The 19,287-nt window shown below is 52.7% G+C and overlaps 2 protein-coding genes across 29 annotated transcripts in view, besides 8 other annotated features; both read right to left on the bottom strand.

Moving 5' to 3' along the window:
• The window catches only part of TFDP1 (transcription factor Dp-1), a 56,786-nt gene that overhangs the window by 10,145 nt on the left and 27,354 nt on the right, over positions 1-19,287 (bottom strand). For all 28 annotated transcript variants that reach the window (NR_026580.1, XM_017020717.2, XM_005268327.2 and 25 more), the window contains one exon: positions 8,043-8,149. Coding sequence is in view for 27 of the 28 variants with exons in the window: in XM_017020717.2 (XP_016876206.1) it covers positions 8,043-8,149 (107 nt within the window). In the remaining variant the exon portion in view is untranslated. Of the gene's footprint in view, positions 1-8,042; positions 8,150-19,287 lie in introns of those variants that run through there.
• LOC124903219 (uncharacterized) lies at positions 27-8,036 on the bottom strand. The gene is made up of 2 exons (XM_047430839.1): positions 6,322-8,036; positions 27-5,825 (listed from the first exon to the last, which is right to left on the bottom strand). Exons 1-2 carry the CDS (start codon positions 6,565-6,567, stop codon positions 5,100-5,102), a joined length of 972 nt encoding a protein of 323 aa, XP_047286795.1. The 5' UTR covers positions 6,568-8,036; the 3' UTR covers positions 27-5,099.
• Positions 5,271-6,470: an enhancer, noted in NCBI's record as "P300/CBP strongly-dependent group 1 enhancer chr13:114279174-114280373 (GRCh37/hg19 assembly coordinates)". NCBI's record gives its function as "activates an origin of replication core promoter dependent on BRD2, BRD4, P300/CBP, MED14 and CDK7 cofactors, with strong dependence on P300/CBP, by STARR-seq in HCT116 cells {active_cell/tissue: HCT116}" and the evidence as "EXISTENCE:reporter gene assay evidence [ECO:0000049][PMID:35650434]".
• Positions 5,510-6,130: an enhancer, noted in NCBI's record as "H3K27ac-H3K4me1 hESC enhancer chr13:114279514-114280134 (GRCh37/hg19 assembly coordinates)". NCBI's record gives its function as "activates a minimal SCP1, AML or CMV promoter by ChIP-STARR-seq in naive H9 embryonic stem cells {active_cell/tissue: H9 hESC(naive)}" and the evidence as "EXISTENCE:reporter gene assay evidence [ECO:0000049][PMID:30033119]".
• Positions 13,491-14,053: an enhancer, noted in NCBI's record as "H3K27ac-H3K4me1 hESC enhancer chr13:114271591-114272153 (GRCh37/hg19 assembly coordinates)". NCBI's record gives its function as "activates a minimal SCP1, AML or CMV promoter by ChIP-STARR-seq in naive H9 embryonic stem cells {active_cell/tissue: H9 hESC(naive)}" and the evidence as "EXISTENCE:reporter gene assay evidence [ECO:0000049][PMID:30033119]".
• Positions 14,054-14,617: an enhancer, noted in NCBI's record as "H3K27ac-H3K4me1 hESC enhancer chr13:114271027-114271590 (GRCh37/hg19 assembly coordinates)". NCBI's record gives its function as "activates a minimal SCP1, AML or CMV promoter by ChIP-STARR-seq in naive H9 embryonic stem cells {active_cell/tissue: H9 hESC(naive)}" and the evidence as "EXISTENCE:reporter gene assay evidence [ECO:0000049][PMID:30033119]".
• Positions 15,182-15,745: an enhancer, noted in NCBI's record as "H3K27ac-H3K4me1 hESC enhancer chr13:114269899-114270462 (GRCh37/hg19 assembly coordinates)". NCBI's record gives its function as "activates a minimal SCP1, AML or CMV promoter by ChIP-STARR-seq in primed H9 embryonic stem cells {active_cell/tissue: H9 hESC(primed)}" and the evidence as "EXISTENCE:reporter gene assay evidence [ECO:0000049][PMID:30033119]".
• Positions 15,746-16,309: an enhancer, noted in NCBI's record as "H3K27ac-H3K4me1 hESC enhancer chr13:114269335-114269898 (GRCh37/hg19 assembly coordinates)". NCBI's record gives its function as "activates a minimal SCP1, AML or CMV promoter by ChIP-STARR-seq in primed H9 embryonic stem cells {active_cell/tissue: H9 hESC(primed)}" and the evidence as "EXISTENCE:reporter gene assay evidence [ECO:0000049][PMID:30033119]".
• Positions 16,874-17,437: an enhancer, noted in NCBI's record as "H3K4me1 hESC enhancer chr13:114268207-114268770 (GRCh37/hg19 assembly coordinates)". NCBI's record gives its function as "activates a minimal SCP1, AML or CMV promoter by ChIP-STARR-seq in primed H9 embryonic stem cells {active_cell/tissue: H9 hESC(primed)}" and the evidence as "EXISTENCE:reporter gene assay evidence [ECO:0000049][PMID:30033119]".
• Positions 17,438-18,002: an enhancer, noted in NCBI's record as "H3K4me1 hESC enhancer chr13:114267642-114268206 (GRCh37/hg19 assembly coordinates)". NCBI's record gives its function as "activates a minimal SCP1, AML or CMV promoter by ChIP-STARR-seq in primed H9 embryonic stem cells {active_cell/tissue: H9 hESC(primed)}" and the evidence as "EXISTENCE:reporter gene assay evidence [ECO:0000049][PMID:30033119]".

Raw genomic sequence — 19,287 nt, 5'->3', positions numbered from 1 at the left:
AGAGCGTGACCCCCAAACCGCACACAAGGCGCTAACGGTCAAGTTTAATGAAGGGGGCGGCACAGAATTCCACACAGGGCACTTGAGCACGCTTCCATTTTTCCCTTCACCCTTTTACTTCCTTTTAGTGATATGGATGAGGATGAAATTGTATCCTTCTGTGGTACTAAAAAGAGGCCTGAAACAAACCAAAAACAGCTCTCAAAAGACAAAAGCACAGGCAGGGTGACAGCAGCTGCTCCTCCAGCCCAGCAGGGTGACAGCCATCACCTGGTAACCCTGTGCCCTGGGGCCCTGTCTGGGGGAACCCCTGCACCCACAACGGCGTCAGGCAAGGAGGGAGGGCCACCAGCACTGGGGGCGGAAGGTAGGGGCTCCACACGCCCCTGGGGCTCACACACCTGGGCCCCTCTGGGGGGAACCACCAGAGGCAACGCCAGTGTGGACACTGACCCACCCGCCCCACCCCACAGCACACCTGAGGGTGTCAACAACTGTCTCTCCCTTCAGGGACATGCTGGCTGGTCTGACTCTTGACAAGGTCTTACCACTTTAGTTCCAACAATGAATGTTCGAGTGTGAATACCTGGACACCCTCATACAGGCAAATACAACTCTGACTTTTCAAAGATCTTGTGGCACGACTCTATCTAAACTGGAAACACTATTTCTCAGTAAATGTTAAATCATTCAATTCACCACAAATCAAAGTGCCTCAGCGATTATACTGCTTGTATGGACATGCAGTTTCCGTTAAAGGGATTGGAGCTGGACACCTGTATGCTGGCGGGGGGGCTTCATGTGGCCGATGCCCTGAGCTACTCTAAGCTGGGCCCCCCCAGCTCCCCTTCTTACGGGGATAAATGCATCACCTGCGGTGGCCCTGGGAGCAGCTGACGGGGACACTTTCCAATTATCCCTAGGCCAGATCACCTGTCAGCTCCGGAGAAGAAAAACATTTCAAGGACTGATCTTTTCATTGACACTCATCTCTCCGATGATCAGAGACTCATCAGAGTGCGGCCTTCTGTGGATCACCAGGCCATGAAATCAAACAAGTGAATTTTCTGCAAAATGAAGCCATACAAAAGATAAATCTCCTGGGCGTGGATAAATGTCCTGTGAAACTTGTTTTGTTCAATACGCGTGTGTGTGTGTGTGTGTGTGTGTGTGCTGCTGGGGCACTGGGCCACGTGGGAGATCCAAACAGCTGACAAAAGGACCCTGCCACTCAGGCTGCCTGAGAGCGCGCTGGCCCCGCACGGCTTCCTACGTTGAGTTCAGCAGATGCCATTCTCCGGGAGTTGATGTCAGACTGAGAACCCGCCAGCTCCACGCCAGGCAGTGCTGGCTGGCTCCGCGCATACCACACGCACAGGTACAGGGGGCTGGAGAATCCCACACACGATTCTAACCCACCTCATGGGTCCACTCCCTTCCCCAGGAATCCCAGGACCACGCAAGGCACTGGATCTTGGCCCCAAAACAGATGCCGTCACCGTGCCGCTGTCCTCCAGGCAGGAGCAAACCTACTCACAAAGAGTGGACTTACAACGAGGAACTGACTTACAACGAGGAACTTACAAGGAACATCCCGATAAACCCGCATGAGCTGAAAATACCCTAAGTCGAAATGCACGTCATCCACCTCTCCTACCACACATCACAGCTTAGCCAGCCTACCTTACACGTGCTCAGATCACGCATGTTAGCCCAGTCGGGCAGAAGCATCTCACACAAAGCCCACTCTAGTCAAGTGTGGGTATCCCAGGAGACCCACTGAATACCACACTCAAAATGAAAAATAGGACGGTCGTATGGGCAGTGGAAGCAGTTTCCACTGAATGCATGTTGCTTTTGGACCATCTTAAAGTCAAAATCACAGGTCAAACCCACTGTAAGTTGGGAAGAAGAGAAAGCCAGAGGCAGGTACACACCAGGTGCTCAATGGTGCTCACCAACAACCTTTCCTGGAAGACAGGACTCAGCACCCAGGGGCACCCTGAGAACGAGCCACCAGTGCACTGGGAATGCGTTGTTTACGGAGGCCAGGTCTTACAGGAAGCTCTCCTTACTCTCCTGCTTTAACTGCTCCCTGCGGAAGGCCCCGCGGCATCCGGCCCATGCAGTGCTGGGCAAGGGTGCCTGCACCTTCCTCTGCGTGCCCTGCGTGGCAGCTCCCCTCACTGTGTCTCCGCAGCACTGTCCCTGCTCCTCACCCATCACCTGCTGCTCACCAGCCCTGTGAGCTGAGTCAGCATCACAGGGGCGGCCTGGAGCCAGCCCTCCCAGGAACGAGACAGAGGCTTTGCTCCCGGACCTGGCACAGGTGTGTGCGTTTCCTTCCTGGTGCACAGGAAGCCGGTGAACTCGGGCCGGCCGCCTGTGCCACAGGACGCCTTCCAGTCTCCCATTCAACAGACATGGAGCAGGCCCCCGGCCTCACTTCCCTACACCAGGAGCCACACTCAACAGCCAGAGGAGGCACGGCAACACACTGAAGCCCTGGAGGGCGTGTGTGGGCAGAAGCGCAGGGAAAACAGGAACCAAGGAGGTGCCAAAGGGTGGATGGGACAGTGCCGGGAAGGATAGTTCAGAGCTGGGCCCCTAGGGAAAAAAAGGAGGTATTGGAAGCAGTGGCCACGCTAGCTGGAGTGGTGGGCAGAGACCCTGGAAGGGAGAAGTGGTCACAGCACAATGAGGGGTACTGCCCAAAGCTGGGAGGCTGTGGGTCCCACTCCAACCAGGGCTTTCCAGGAGATCCAGGAGCCTCTGGGAGCAGGAGGCAGGCAGGGGCTGAAAGGCGCCAGGGACACCCACCCCTTAGATTTAACAGCGGCTTCTCTGGAGGATGGGCTCCGCCCTCACGACTCCCTCACCCGCCTCTCGCTGGGGAGCAGGGGAGGTGACCCAGGCCCCACAGGTCATAAGGGGTCTCCCTTCCTACTGTGCTCACGGCTGGAATCCAAGCTGCGCTTCAGAGAAAGTAAATGACATGGCTTCAGACACAGTCTACATGGCTCCAGACACAGTCTTTACACGGCTCCAGACACAGTCTTTACACGGCTTCAGACACAGTCTCTACACGGCTCCAGACAGTCTTTACACGGCTCCAGACAGTCTTTACACGGCTTCAGACACAGTCTTTACACGGCTTCAGACACAGTCTTTACACGGCTCCAGACATAGTCTTTACACAGCTTCAGACACAGTCTTTACACGGCTCCAGACAGTCTTTACACGGCTTCAGACACAGTCTTTCGACTCTAAAGCTTTTGCAGCTTCCACGCCAGCAGTCGTTAGAAAACAGCTCCAGGTGGAAGCATCCCACAGTAGAGGACCTGCCGGAGGTCCACCTTGCCCGAGACCAACCCTCCTCCCCCAGGAGCTCCCCTCCTCACTGGCTGCACAGTGAGCCTTGGTGTTTAAAGCAGCGATCCCCCACCTTTTTGGTATCAGGGACCAGTTTTGTGGAAGACAGTTTTTCCACAGACCGGAGTCGGGGGTAGTTTCGGGAAGAAACTGTCCCACCTCAGATCATCAGGCATTCGATTCTCATACGGAGTGCCACCTAGATCCTGCATGTGCCGTTCACAGTGGGGTTTGCGCTCCTGAGAACCTAATGCTGGGATCTGACAGGAGGCAGGGCTCAGGCGGCTGTGCGGCCAGCTTCCTAACAGGCCCAGGGGTTGGGGACTCCTGATTTAAGGCATCCCTTCTGCCCTAAGTGCACACTTTTTGCACCTTAATTTCACACACTCTAAAAACTGAGATTACGATGTCTCCGTGTAGTGTGACCCCACTCAGACACAGAATCCTAGAGATGGACCAAGGTTAACCGCGGTGTCCAGAGAGACAGGGCCAGTGGCGCAGCTGCAAAGGAAAGGCCACTGCGACCACAGATGCCGACTTCTGGGACACAGGCCTGGGTGGGGGGCTGCTTCTCCCCAGGGGCTCACACAGGCCGCTGCTCCTGCCGGCTGAGCACATATGTCCTCTGTCCCGCACACGTTCCTGTGCGCGTGCTGAGCTCTGCAGCACCACAGGCTTCACAAGCATCCGCACCTCAAAAGACCCTGACCTTGACAAGCCCTGCGCCTGCTGACTGGTGCAGGTCAGAGACCTAAGGACCTCCCCACCGCTTTCACTCACATGCCCGGACTGAGCCCCACCCCTCGTGTCAGAATGAGCCAGTCCAGTTTTTTGTAAACCTCTGGTATATAAAAAGGTTTAAGAAACATTTGCCCTTTGTCAGCTTTAATTCCCATCACTGGGATTTTGCAAAGCACAAAACAGCAATGACAAACTCCACCCGAACAGCTGAATTTAAATCAGGAACTTGACTTTCAGTGACGAAGTTTAAAGCACATCAATAAGATAATCTTCTCATTCGTTTCCCCCCAGTGTATTCACACCGGCAGTAAAGACGAAAGTGGTGCTACAATTATTCACCCAGACAAACTCTGCTATGACACACAGCACCTATAAAATCAAACTTAGAATTCCTAGTCAACTTATAAGCAAACCTATAATCTAATTATCAAGCAAAACAAAAACTGAATTTTTAGCTTTTATCAAAATGGCATTTACTGAAAAGCCGTGATCTGCTGTGCAACGTGGTTGAAAAGCCGTATGACGTGGTAGGGCTTCCACAAACCGCTACTTTCAATGGCCACAAAACTTCTGCAGAGCAAGTTTTTTGTCACCTTCCACAGGCAGGAAACGGGGCCACAAAAGCTGCCTGGGATCTGGAACCGCTCAATCAGGACAGCTGTGTGGGAGCACACACGGGGAGGGGGGCTGCGGGGAAGCGGGGCGCAGGGAAGTGGGACGCGGGGAAGGGAGCGCGGGGAAGGCAATCCTGCTCAGATCCTCAAGGCTGTGACCCACAAGCCACTCTCTCTTAAAACTCATATCCTAACATCTGTTAAAGAATCCAGAGAATTTCAAGCATATTTAAATAAACGGAAATAGCAGGAATGCATATAAAATAAAGACTAAAGTGCAAAAATGACCAAAATATCCCTGGTATGTGGTCATGTTCTCTGAAGAAAACATGATTAGACCAAAGGGAGATGCCCTAGACAACAAAAAACAGCTCAGTACAGAGAGCTCTCCACAGGGCCAGGGACACCTGAGGATGCCTGGGGATCCATGAGAGACACCTGGGGACACCTGAGAGACACCTGAGGACACGTGAGAGACACCTGAGGACACGTGAGAGACACCTGAGAAACACCTGAGGACACGTGAGAGACACCTGAGGACATGTGAGAGACACCTGAGGACGCGTGAGAGACACCTGAGGACACGTGAGAGACACCTGAGGACACGTGAGAGACACCTGAGGACACGTGAGAGACGCCTGAGGACACGTGAGAGACGCCTGAGAAACACCTGAGGACACGTGAGAGACACCTGAGGACATGTGAGAGACACCTGAGGACGCGTGAGAGACACCTGAGGACGCGTGAGAGACACCTGAGGACGCGTGAGACACCTGAGGACGCGTGAGACACCTGAGGACACGTGAGAGACGCCTGAGGACACGTGAGAGACGCCTGAGGACACGTGAGAGACGCCTGAGGACACGTGAGAGACGCCTGAAGACATGTGAGAGACGCCTGAGAGACACCTGAGGACACGTGAGAGACGCCTGAGGACACGTGAGAGACGCCTGAGGACACGTGAGAGACGCCTGAGGACACGTGAGAGACGCCTGAAGACACGTGAGAGACACCTGAGAAACACCTGAGGACACGTGAGAGACACCTGAGGACACGTGAGAGACACCTGAGAAACACCTGAGGACACGTGAGAGACACCTGAGAACACGTGAGAGACACCTGAGAAACACCTGAGGACACGTGAGAGACACCTGAGGACATGTGAGAGACACCTGAGGACACGTGAGAGACACCTGAGGACACGTGAGACGCCTGAGGACACGTGAGAGACGCCTGAGGACACGTGAGAGACGCCTGAGGACACGTGAGAGACGCCTGAGAAACACGTGAGGACACGTGAGAGACACCTGAGGACACGTGAGAGACACCTGAGGACATGTGAGAGATACCCTGAGAGACACCTGGGGACATGTGAGAGACACCTGAGAAACAGCTGAGGACAAGTGAGAGACACCTGAGGACACGTGAGAGACACCTGAGAGACACCTGAGGACACGTGAGAGACACCTGAGAGACACCTGAGGACACGTGAGAGACACCTGAGGACACGTGAGAGACACCTGAGGACACGTGAGAGACACCTGAGGACACGTGAGAGACACCTGAGAAACACCTGAGGACACGTGAGAGACACCTGAGGACACGTGAGAGACACCTGAGGACATGTGAGAGATACCCTGAGAGACACCTGGGGACATGTGAGAGACACCTGAGAAACACCTGAGGACAAGTGAGAGACACCGGAGGACACGTGAGAGACACCTGAGAAACACCTGAGGACACGTGAGAGACACCTGAGAAACACCTGAGGACACGTGAGAGACACCTGAGAAACACCTGAGGACATGTGAGAGATACCCTGAGAGACACCTGAGGACATGTGAGAGATATCCTGAGAGACACCTGAGAGACACGTGAGGACATGTGAGAGATACCCTGAGAGACACCTGAGGACATGTGAGAGATACCCTGAGAGACACCTGAGGACATGTGAGAGACACCCTGAGAGACACCTGAAGACATGTGAGAGATACCCTGAGACACACCTGAGGACATGTGAGAGATACCCTGAGAGACACCTGAGGACACGTGAGAGATACCCTGAGAGACACCTGAGGACACGTGAGAGACACCCTGAGAGACACCTGAGGACACCTGAGAGACACCCTGAGAGACACGTGGGGACATGTGAGAGATACCTGAGGACACCTGAGAGACACGTGAGGACACCTGGGGATGCCTGAGAGATACTTGGGGACACCTGGGGACACGTGAGGATGCCTGGGAGACACCTGAGGACACCCGAGAGACACGTGAGGACACCTGGGTATGCCTGAGAGACACCTGGTGACAGTGAACGGACAGGTTCTCATCCCACCCGGAGGTGTTCAATCCTTTTAAGAGGACTGGGCCACAGCACAGACGGAGCAGGGTGAGGGGGTGGAGTGGGCCAGGAGGCCGGGGTGCAAGAGGTGCTGCATCACCAAAGCCCAGGGTTGGCAGGAACAGGGCTGGGGCAGCTGCCCAGGCGGGGCCACAGCATCATCTCAGGACCAGGAAGGAGCCCTCAGGCACCATAAACAAGTCCCTGAGGAAGGACTGGAAGCCCGGCCTAGCCTTGGGATGGCTATGTCCCTCACCACCAGCTCCAGTCACAGCCAAACCTGCCCACCAAGTGCCTGGGGCCCCATTTCTGGTGAGGTCAGGATTCTGTGTGGGCTCCCTGTCTCCAGTAGGCTGCCACCGGCAAGGACGCAGAGGGCGGACACGAGACAGGAAACAGCATTATGAGAAGCAGCATCAGTTGGCCAGCATCAGCCTGGGGAGGGGGGATGCGCCACTTCCCAATGCCCACCTTCCCCTCTCCTGTGCGTGGCCAAGGGAGCAGCATCTGCCCTGTCACTGCCCCGGGGCAAACGCACAGCCACGGCCAGGGCCCTATCCCTCTCTGGCTTCCCAGCCTGATGTCTCCAGGAGGGCCACAGCCAACGCTCGGCCACATCACGTAAGAAGCCCCTGTTAGATGAAGAGCTTCGAGCTCTGACACTAAAAGGAAGCTGCCTCTGGTTGGGGCCGCGGCCCCACCCACCACCCTCCAGTTACTGGAAGGATGGCATGGGCTGGGGCACACAGGAGTGCTGTGGGCGCCATCACCTCTCCCACAACAACACGTGGGCAGCTGCAGAGGGCTATGGAAAATCTAGCACTGGCCACGGGCTCCCTGATGAGGGAAAGGCCCCATGCTGCAACTGGAGCCCAAATCCAGGCACACCTGGGAACATCCCCAACCACACGGCTCATCCGATCCCGACCTCACACCGAGATCCCGGCTGTCCGCTCCTGCGGGAGGCTTACCACTTGCTGGGCAATGTTGACATTGGACTGTCCAAAGGTTTTTGGCAAGAGCTGCTTCCCGAGCGGGTTGACGGTGGAGGGGTGAACGGCCACGAGGGACACCACGCCTGCAACACAAGGACACCAGGTCAAGGGCGAGACTCCTTTTCTAAGTTAAGGCTACAAGCGACCATTCTAAATGCAAGACGGTGCTTGCAATTAGAGATGCTTAGCTTTCCCCACGTGTACTGTCTCAAATCCAGGGCTCAAGAGCAACACCTCCATGAAGCTTGATTCCCAATGTAAACCCGTAAGGGGAGGGCCGCAGGGCCGCGCTGACGCCACCCAGGTGACCCAGGCAGATCATCCACTGCTCCAGCCCCTCGGCGATGTCTGCTATGGAACGTGCTGGTGGGGACCACGGCCTGGAAAAGTCTGTGATTCTATGACAATTATGGAACAGAATTTTAAAACTAGAATTTTTATCGCAACATTTCTCTATAAGGCTGCAAAACTAGTTTGGAAATCTGATAATCCACTTTTCCTTAGGAAGGAGAACCACATTTGTTCCTAGGAAGGAGTGTGCCTTCCACAGAGGCTGCGGCTCTAAACATGCAGGTGCCCTCAGAACACTGGTGAAGCAAGCGGGAGACCCCTCTGCAGGAGATGTGAAGCCTCTGTCTTCCAACAGCGGTATGCAAAAGGTCCTAGGGACAGGGCGGTGGATAAAAGTCCTGGAACATTTACACATAAACAGAAGTAGTAATGATAAAGTTCAAAAACTGGCATCAGCGGGCAGAGAGAACTAAACAAAGAAACCGTAAACCAGGTGGTAGCGAGCACCCTGGGAAACAAGTTGGGAGGCCTGGGTGGTCAGCACAGCCCGGGAGGGGCGTCAGGGCAACACTGGAAGGGTGGGCGGCCACACAGAGGCAGCAAGGGGCTCGCAGTGCCCCACTGTAGGGACCGGCCCCACAGGGTCGGTGGGTTTCTCCCCGTGTGCGGAGACGAGAGAGTGTAGAAGTAAAGACACAAGACAAAGAGATAAAAGAAAAGGCAGCTGGGCCCGGGGGACCACTACCACCAAGTCGCAGAGACCGGTAGTGGCCCCGAATGCCAGGCTGCACTGATATTTATTGGATACAAGACAAAAGGGAAAGATAAGGAGAGTAAGCCATCTCCAATCACAGGTAAGGCCATGTGGGTCACGCGTCCACTGGACAGGGGGCCCTTCCCTGCCTGGCAGCCGAGGCAGAGAGAGAGAGGAGGCAAAGAGAAAGACAGCTTACGCCATTATTTCTGCATATCAGAGACTTTTAGTACTTTCACTAATTTACTACTGCTATCTAGAAGGCAGAGCCAGGTGTACAGGATGGAACATGAAGGTGGACTAGGAGCGTGACCACTGAAGCACAGCATCACAGGGAGACGGTTAGGCCTCCAGATAACTGCAGGCGAGCCTGACTCATGTCAGGCCCTCCACAAGAGGTGGAGGAACAGAGTCTTCTCTAAACTCCCTTTCCCGGTCTGCTAAGTAGCCGCTGTTTTTCCGTGACACTGAGGCTACCGCTAGACCACAGTCCACCTGGCAACGGACATCTTCCCAGACGCTGGCGTTACCGCTAGACCAAGGAGCCCTCTGGTGGCCCTGTCCGGGCATAACAGAAGGCTCGCACTCGTCTTCTGGTCACTCCTCACTATGTCCCCTCAGCTCCTATCTCTGTATGGCCTGGTTTTTCCTGGGTTATGATTGTAGAGTGAGGATTATTGTAATATTGGAATAAAGAGTAATTGCTACAAACTAATGATTAATGATATTCATATATAATCATATCTAAGATCTATATCTGGAATAACCATTCTTGTTTTATATTTTATTATACTGGAACAGCTCGTGTCCTCGGTCTCTTGCCTCGGCACCTGGGTGGCTTGCCACCCACACCCCACCCCACGGCTGGGGGAGCTGAGCGGATAGCCCCCCATTTGAAAATACATGATACTCTCAGGTGAAGAAAACACAGACTTTCGGGTCACAACAACATCAGGAAAGAAGAACTCCCCGATCTCGCCACACCTTGGGCCTCCCCGGACGGCCGCCCATCCGCAGAGCTGCAGGACCCTGGACCTCCCCACAGGCATCTCCCTTCATTCCCACCAGTTAGCACCAAAATGACTCATGAATCATCGGTGAGACTTTCGAATACATTGCCTTTGCGATCTGAAGTTTCATTTTGGGGCCCTTTACAACCCATGCATTTTTAAAACATCTACTGCTTTTTATGCATTTCTTTAAAATATATTAAACAATGAATTTTGTGCTACATAAGGACACTTAGTAATTTCTCTTAATAACCTAAGTTGGCCAAGACAGATCATTAGGAAGTGATTAAAAAGACATTTGCCTTTTGATTCAACTGGGTTAAATATTAGTATTTTTACCAACCAATGTCAGCACATATTTAAAATTCTCTTCTGGAACTAAAATAAGATGATCTGCTTTGGGAAATTTTCTTCCAAAAATAAAGGTGTGCATCCTAAGAAAAGCAAATATTTACTTTTTTATTGTTTTATATATGTGAAAGGTATTTTCAGAATATTCAATTGAAAAGTAAAGATTGTACATATTCGAAATGTACCAGTGATGATTGGATGCACATATACACGGTGTAATACTTACCAGGGAAAGGCATTTTAAAAGCAAAAATAATATTCTACTATGCAGGGAATGATTTAAAGTACGCAATTAAACACTTTTCAGATTCACATACAGATGAGTAAACACTCAGTTTTCAAGAATATGTAGTTGATTCATTACAAAGATAACATCTTTTAAAATTTGCAAACGAGTCTCTAATTTCAATAAATGTGAAGAAAGAAACAGACCTCTGAGTTCACAAAAGCCAGTGGCACTGTCACTCTCCATCAGCAGCCCAGGCGGCTCTTTCCGTCCTGAACAGCCAGGCCACGGCGCCCGTCCACCAGCACCACAGGTAGCATACACTCAGGCATCCCAGTCTGGGGCTCCCCTTTCCTGCCCCATCAGGGAGTGTGGGTAGGACTCAGGGATTCAGGTGGTGGTGGGGCTGTGGGACAGCAGTGTAGCTGAGACCCTCGGGGCATCCGGCCTGCCCTCCATCTGCTCCACCCACAGGCCGGCCGGCTGGCCTGCCTACACCATCTGTCCTTCCAACCAGGTCTCTCCCTCTGGGCCAGAGGCCAGCACCGTGAGGCTGGGGTGGGTCGCTAAGGGTTTTCACAATTAGGAAGGGGGAGACAAACACACAGAGGGAAGAGGGTCCCTCCTCTGGTACCCAGGGCAGGATGAGTGAATGCAGGCAGACATCCAGGGCCCCTGAGCTTCCCCACTCACTCCTGCTGTCCACCTGGAGTCTGAGCCCCCACACCAGCTGCAGGTAAAGGGTTTCGGAGCCCAAGGCCTTGCCAAGCACAGAGGGCCCCTCCCAGCCTAGACACAAACCAACAGAGGACCTCTGAGTGGCACACCACACCAACCCAGCAGCACCCCTGGGTCACCAGCTGAGTCTCTACGGGACAGAGGGCAGGGTACGTACATCAGTAACAGGGAGAAGAAAGAAATCCTGAGGCTGAGGGTGAATACCCCCTGTCCGGCCCCGAGCAGCACTTCAGAAGGGCCTGGAGATAGGGGCTGAGCTTGCACAGCCACCCGACCACAGCGAGCAGCAAGGCCCCTCCCTGAATACATCTCAGACCCACACCCAGACGTACAGGCTGGAAAGGGCAGTGGCAGTGGCTTCTGGGGCCAGACCTGGGTGGGTGGGCTTCTTCTTTTTTTTTTTTTTTTTTTGTTTTTTTTTTGAGATGGAGTCTCACTGTGTCGCCCAGGCTGGAGGGCAGTGACATGATCTCGGCTCACTGCAAGCTCCGCCTCCCGCGTTCCAGCGATTCCCCTGCCTCAGCCTCCTGAGTAGCTGGGACTACAGGCACCTGCCACCACACTGGCTAACTTTTGTATTTTTAGTAGAGAAGGGTTTCACCATGTTGGCCAGGCTGGTCTTGAACGCCTGACCTCTGGTGATCCGCCTGCCTCGGCCTCCCAAAGTGCTGGGATTACAGGTGTTAGCCACTACGCCCAGCCGGGCTTCTTGTTTCTATTCACTGAGAAACTTTTCAAATACAAACAATAACATGACAATTTTATTCCAGTACACTTAAAATTCACTGTTATCATCATACTTGCTTCAAGTTTCATAGAGACATAAAGAGCAGAAATAAAATTACAGTCCCCAGGATCCTCAGCCTCCCCCCGAGTCTGCCCTGTGTGCAACTCCCAGGGCCTGCAGGGACGTACTCACTTTATTTTTCATACTTTTCCAGGATGTGCTGAACCTAAGGCTATAAATGATTGTTTTTGTGTGCGTCTGAAACACAGACAAATATTATATGGCTCGCATTCTGCAATTCTGCCAACATTGTGTTTCAGATTTACCCATACATAGAGCCGTCAGGCTGATTTCCTTAAATGCTGTTATGCTATGCCATTATAATAAAGTGGTCATATGAACACAGATGTCATATGAAAATGCTGTTTGTTATTACTGAACCACATGCTGTGTGTTTTCCTCGGCACACCTGCCACCAGGGAAGCCCGGGTCCCAGCGGCCGCTGTCCCAGAGTCCACCCAGCTCCCCAAGTGGTCATTCCAGGCCAGACGCACCAGTGGCAGCCAGGCTGCCGCTCCCCACCACTTTTTTTGTCCACCTCAGGATAGAATGTTATTTCAATTAGTAGTAGTAGTTGTTGTTTTTGAGACAGGGTCTCACTCTGTCACCCAGGCTGGAGTGCAGTTGTAGAATCTCAGCTCACTGCAACCTCCACCTCCCGGTTCAAGGGATCCTCCCACCTCAGCCTCCCAAGTAGCTGGTACTACAGGCTCGCACAACCATACCCGGCTAATTTTTGTATTTTTTGTAGAGACAGAGTTTCGCCACATCACCCAGACTGGTCTTGAACTCCTGAGTTCAAGCGATCCACCCGCCTTGGCCTCTCAAAGTGCTGGGACTACAGGTGTGAGCCACCACGCCCAGCCAATCATTTAGTTTTAATCTGGCAATATAAGTAGAGTAGAGTGTTCCACACATTTTCTTGATAAGACTGCCACACAATCTATGCATGGGAGGGAGGAGGGCTAACATTTCAGGGACAAGCTGAGTCACATGAAGACATGGCCCACAAGCCAACTCAATAGAAATAATATTGTTTCAACTGTAAAAGGCACTACACAGCGTTTTTCAAATGAACTAATTAAAAACATTTTATATACAGCATTTTAAATGGAGAATTCCTTTCTTGGGAAGAAAACTAGTTAAGAATATATATGGTCTCAGTTGCTATAATCCATTAACAGAAAAAGGAGTCTAAATATAGTATTCACGTTTTTATCATTACTAATCCTATTCTATTAATATCTATAGGGCTTAAGATAAATTATGAAACCATACAGTTTTGTATTTTCTGAAAAACAATTTTAACATCTTTACGTTGTCAGAGCCAGATGTCTAAGAGTTACTATTTTGCCCACCATGCTGGAGATGTTTTGTTTGCTTATCTGGCCAAGCACAACCCCTCTGCAGGTGAGCAGCTCTGCAGGTGAGCGGCTCTGCAGGTGAGCGGCTCTGCAGGTGAGCGGCTCTGCAGGTGAGCGGCTCTGCAGGTGAAGGGTTCTGCAGGTGAAGGGCTCTGCAGGTGAGCGGCTCTGCAGGTGAAGGGTTCTGCAGGTGAGCGGCTCTGCAGGTGAATGGTTCTGCAGGTGAAGGGCTCTGCAGGTGAACGGTTCTGCAGGTGAAGGGCTCTGCAGGTGAACGGTTCTGCAGGTGAGCGGCTCTGCAGGTGAGCGGCTCTGCATGTGAGTGCCTCTGTGACTGGCTCGCAAGCAGCATTTGTGCACACTTGACTGGCCACAACAGAATGTTCTTCTCTGTTGTCAGCACTGAGGAGGAAGCTCCTGCCTAAGCGACCACAGCCAGGCACCCGCTCCATGGAGACATTGCTCTCTCCAGACTCCATTCAGACTCAGGAAACCTGAGCTCCTGGAATGCAGGCTGAGGCAGCTCCCACACAAAAGCTATCTACTCTGGCAGTTATCAGAGGCCTCCGTTGCACAAATCACACACCTACTGTGCCTGACGTGGCTGGGCCTCCAGCAGGACCCGCTCCTGAGAACACACGGGTGCTAGTCCAAGTTCACAGCACGGCTCAAGTCACTCCCACAAACCTCTCTATACAAACACACAAAGCTCTGGGAGGCTACCCTGCATCCAAGAGTCACCATCTCACACCTGGAACAAGGGTTACGGCCACAGAAATGTCATGACTGGGCTAAAAACAGAGGCTGGGCTTTTAACATCCTTCGGGTTAAAAACAGAGAAATACAAAGAGAGAAAAAGCTGATGGCCTCTCCTGACAGTTTTGTAGGAGGCTGGCAGTTTGAAGAGGCCAACCAAAACTTATACCCTCCCTTCCTATAACCCCCTTCCTAACAGCTCTACAAAGACCAGTGCGTGTGTCGGGGGGCAAGGGGCACAGTTAGTTCACAGGCGACGGTCACGAGTGAGGAATTACGTAAGCAACACTAAGCTTCTGACCACACATCATTGCTAAATTTCCTCCTCCACTTAGAACCCTAAAGCCGACAGATATGAGATTGAAGCAGGAGGAAAGTAAAGACACAACAAAGGGAGATGCTCTTTAGTAAGCAGTCATTCTGGGCTAAGAGGATATGTATAATCAATGGCCACATGTGCTGGGCACTCCCAGATGAGCAGCAAACGAGGGACCCGGCCTGGCGCCGCAGACGGTGAGCCTGCACTGCACACAGCCATGATCTGTACCTGAGCGCTCTCCACGGATTTACTATGTTAAAAATCATGAGCACTCTACGAGAAAACGGCAGCAAATAACAAAAGGTAGCAAAACGCAGCCACCGAAACCGTGACTGGAAGGGTCCCAGTGACTACAGACAGGAGCCACCACACGGCATGGAGAGGACAGACACTCCACGCACCAGCTGCGAAAGTGCACGCTCAAATGTACACTTACACACTTACTCTTTTTTTTTTTTTTTTTGGAGACAGAGTCTCACTCTGTCACCCAGGCTAGAGTGCAGTGGAGCAATCTCAGCTCACTGCAACCTCCGCCTACAGGGTTCAAGTGATTCTCCTGCCTCAGCCTCCTGAGTAGCTGGGATTACAGGCGTGTACCACAGCGCCCCACTAATTTTTATATTTTTAGTGGAGAGGTGGTTTCATCATGTTGGCTAGGCTGGTCTTGAGCTCCTGACCTCAGGTGATACACCTGCCTCGGCCTCCCAAAGTGCTGGGATACAGGCTTGAGCCACCATGCCCAGCCTACTCATTTTGAGACAGGGTCTGGCTCTGTCACTCAGGCTGGAGTGCAGTGGCACAATCACAACTCACTGCAGCCTCGACCTCCCAGGCTCAAGCGATCCTCCTGCCCCAGCCTCCCAAGTAGCTGGGACTATCTATAGACATGCGCCACCATGCTTGGCTACTTTTTTTTAAAATTTTTTATAGAGATGGGGTCTCCCGTTGTTGCCCAGACTGGTCTTGAACTCCTGGCCTCAAGCAATCCTCCCACTGCAGTCTCCCAAAGCACCGGGATTTCTGGTGTGAGCCCCTGCACCTGGCCTAAACGTGTGGAACAGTGTGGGCAGATTCTCAGTGAGCCTGGATCACCTCTAGGTACAGGAGGTGCACAAGCAGCCCTGAGGTAGAGACAGACAAGCACACTTCCAGGCCAGCTGTGGCCTCCCGGATGGCCTCCCTGAGGACGAGGCACAGGCCGGGCAGGATTGCACACATCAGGGAGGAGAGTGCAGGCAGCCATGGGGCCAGGTCACCCTCAGACAGGGGCAGGGTGGACCAGGCAAAGCGAGAGGAAAAGCTCCTATCAGCACTGCGGGGCCGTAGGCATGATATGAGTAAGAGCCCACCTGTGACACAGAAAGCCTAAAAACCCACCACTACCAAATGCTGGTGAGGAAGTGGAACTGCCAGACACACAAAGTGTGTGTGCAAATGTTCACACCAGCATTTTGCTCTCAGGAAACAATCAGAGGCAACCCAAACAGCCACAACTAAAATGGCCCACGTAAGATGTATTGCCAAACCTCCACATTGGGACTCCCATCCTTGGGGAGCCTGTGGATGCAAAATGTCTCGAGTTTGGTGCATTTCTCTGGGTGGAAAGCAGCCTTCTAAGCCTCGAAGGGTGTGACAGTCAGTTTTACGTGTCAACCTGACGGTGCTCTATCCATTATTCAGCCAAAGGCCAGCCGAGAACTTGCCGCGGAGCTCCTCAAAGAGGAGCCGTTAAGCAAAGGAGACTGTGCTCGATGCAGGTGGGCCTCGTCTAACCCACTGAAGGCTTTCAGAGCAACACCTGCATTTTCCCAGAAAAGGAATTCACCACCAACCACCCTGCAGGTTCCGCCCTGACGGCCCCACTATGGCTAGGTGGGTCCTGTAGTGAGTCCCCACCCAGGTTCCCGTCGCTCACTGGCTGCTACTTTAGAGAACGCTGACACAGTGGGGAACTGGACACAGGCCCCCCACAGCAGCAGCAGGAAGAGACACAGTGGCCCCGGGAGGCTGTGACGTGGAGTGGAGCTGGGAGGACCAGGACCAGGGCCAGGGGCCCATGAGGAGCCTCGGCTGGGCTGGTCCCCTCTACCTTCCCCTGATCCACTCTCACCTGGACAGCTCCTGTCCTTCCTCAAGGTCTGACTCAAGGGAGGCCTCTACAGCCCTCAAAGTGCTACCGACCATGCCCTGGGCTCCCAGGGCACAAACGGAGGAAGGCAGAGCCTTGCTCACTGGCACCGCCGAGGGCAACTCAAAAAGCAGCTGCAACGGCTCCATCTAAGGGCGCCGAGGACCCTGCCTGGACCACCCCACTCCCAACTAGAGGCAAGGGGGGCCCACTAGTGAAGACAGGTGTCTGTTGGGGAGGCGAGGACTGCACGCTTACACACACACAACTCACACACACGCACAATCAGAACTCACACTCAACTCACACACGCACACACATCATACTCAACTCGCACACAACACACACATACAACTCATTCAACTCATGCACACAACACACACACATGCACACGCACATAACACTCCATGCACACAACTCAACTCACACGTGCATATGCACACAACTCACATACATCTCATGCACACAACTCATGCACACAACACACATCTCACACACAACTCACAAACGCACGCACACAACTGACACAACTCACGTGAACTCATGCACACTCACAACACATGCACTCCATATGCACTCCTCACAATTCACATGCACACACACGCACACAACTCACACGCATGCACACACACGCAAACTCACAGGTACACTCACATCCACTCACACAACTCATGCACACTCAACACACATGCACACTCAACACATATGCAACCCATGAACAGACACGCACAGACACTCCACACGCACAATGCACTGATAAGCACTCCTCACACACCCACGCATTCACGCATACACACAGACACACTCATGCACACACTCCTCACATACCCACGCATTCACGCATACACACACACACTCATGCACACACACACTCATACCCACGCATTCACGCAGACACACATGCACACACACTCCTCACATACCCACGCATTCACGCATACACACACACACTCATGCACACACACACTCGTATGCACACTCAGTGACACACACATTCCTCACACACACTCATGCACACATATTGACACAGACACATGCAAACACCAACAAACCATTCTATTTGTTAAACAGAATTCTCTGGAACGAACACCGGAAGTGAACATTGGTGCTCACCTGCATGGACAGAAGAGGAAAAAAGGAAACCTCTCTGCACCTTTTCATACTTCAAAATTTAAAAACATGAACGTGTCACTGATTCAAAAGCAAATTTAAAATAACCACGTGTGGCCGGGTGCAGTGGCTCCCGCCTGTAATCCCAGCACTTTGGGAGGCCAAGGTGGGCGGATCATGATGTCAGGAGTTCGAAACCAGTCTGACCAACATGGTGAAACCCCATCTCTACTAAAAATACAAAATTAGCTGGATATGGTGGTGGGCACCTCTAATCCCAGCTACTCTGGAGGCTGAGGCAGGAGAATCGCTTGAATCCGGGAGGCAGAGGTTGCAGTGAGCCGAGACGGCGCCACTGCACTCCAGCCTGGGCGACAGAGTGAGACTCCATCTCCAAAACAACAACAACAAAAACCACCGTCTGTGCGGTGGAATCAACACCAGGTGAGGGCAGGGGAGGTCCAGGAGCTGCTGCCGGCGATCCAGGGAAAGAACTGACCGTCCCAAGGCTCATGTGGGAGGGATCTGGGGGCCGGGGCACGCGGGGCGAGCTGAGGGGAAATGCACGGCCCTGCTGGGCCGGCTCAAAACCAGAACATTTTCAGCTATGTCATGAATGCAGAATATGTTCCTTCCTAATCCCTGCAATTCAACTCTTCAGCTCAATTAAACTTGTTACAGATTCAAGCACAGATTTGTGAGTAAGAATGGAAAAGGAGACAGCCCACATGTGGTAAGAAAGCCTACTGCATGTAACCTAACAAGAGAAATTCAAATTCAACACCATAGTAACAGACTTCATCATTTCCAAGCAAATAAAATGGTGAACTTTTTTATTGTTATTTCTGCTTCACCACTTGAACAGAAAATGTCACGCCTGCAACTTGTCCACTTTTAAGTGTTCAATTAGTTACACTAAAACGATATTTCTCTCAAGCAATCTGTGAATCCTCAAATGATCAAGACAAAAAGCTCATAAATAATCCCAAAAGGGCTGCGTAGATTTGGTCCCTATTCCTAGAAAAGCGGCAGGGAAGGACCTGCTTCAGCAGAAGAGCAGGGCCAGTCCCACCACCTCCCTCTGACAGGGCCCGGGGACAGCAGGAGGCTGGGGAGGCTGCAGGCTGGCTCAGGTCACAAAGCCAAGTTCTCTCAAGGAAGAGACCAGAGCAGGACCTAGGGACAGGCCCCAAGGAGACACCTGGATCCACAGCATGTAGGGGTTGGAGGCAGATGGCACCATGGGCGCCCGCACCAGCACTGGACAGAAAGGGACGGGTGGCAAGGCCAAGCCTCAGCAGAGAGGTGGGGGCCTGGTCACCACACTCCCACGCCCCAGAGCCATGGCAAGCACTGAGAGGTCACTTACAAGGGTCACAATGTTAAG

Source organism: Homo sapiens, chromosome 13 (assembly GCF_000001405.40).
Source record: "Homo sapiens chromosome 13, GRCh38.p14 Primary Assembly".
Classification (NCBI taxonomy): domain Eukaryota; kingdom Metazoa; phylum Chordata; class Mammalia; order Primates; family Hominidae; genus Homo; species Homo sapiens.
Note: the sequence above shows the minus strand (reverse complement) of the source record. Positions and strands in the feature narration are given on the sequence as shown.

Bases quoted from the DNA above. Each gene is read 5' to 3' on its own strand.
- LOC124903219 (XM_047430839.1), bottom strand. From the start codon at position 6,567: ATGTCCTCAGGTGTCTCTCAGGGTATCTCTCACATGTCCTCAGGTGTT. The intron at 5,826-6,321 runs GTGTCTCTCACG...ACGTGTTCTCAG, and splicing joins TGTCTCTCACGTGTCCTCAG to GTGTCTCTCACGTGTCCTCA.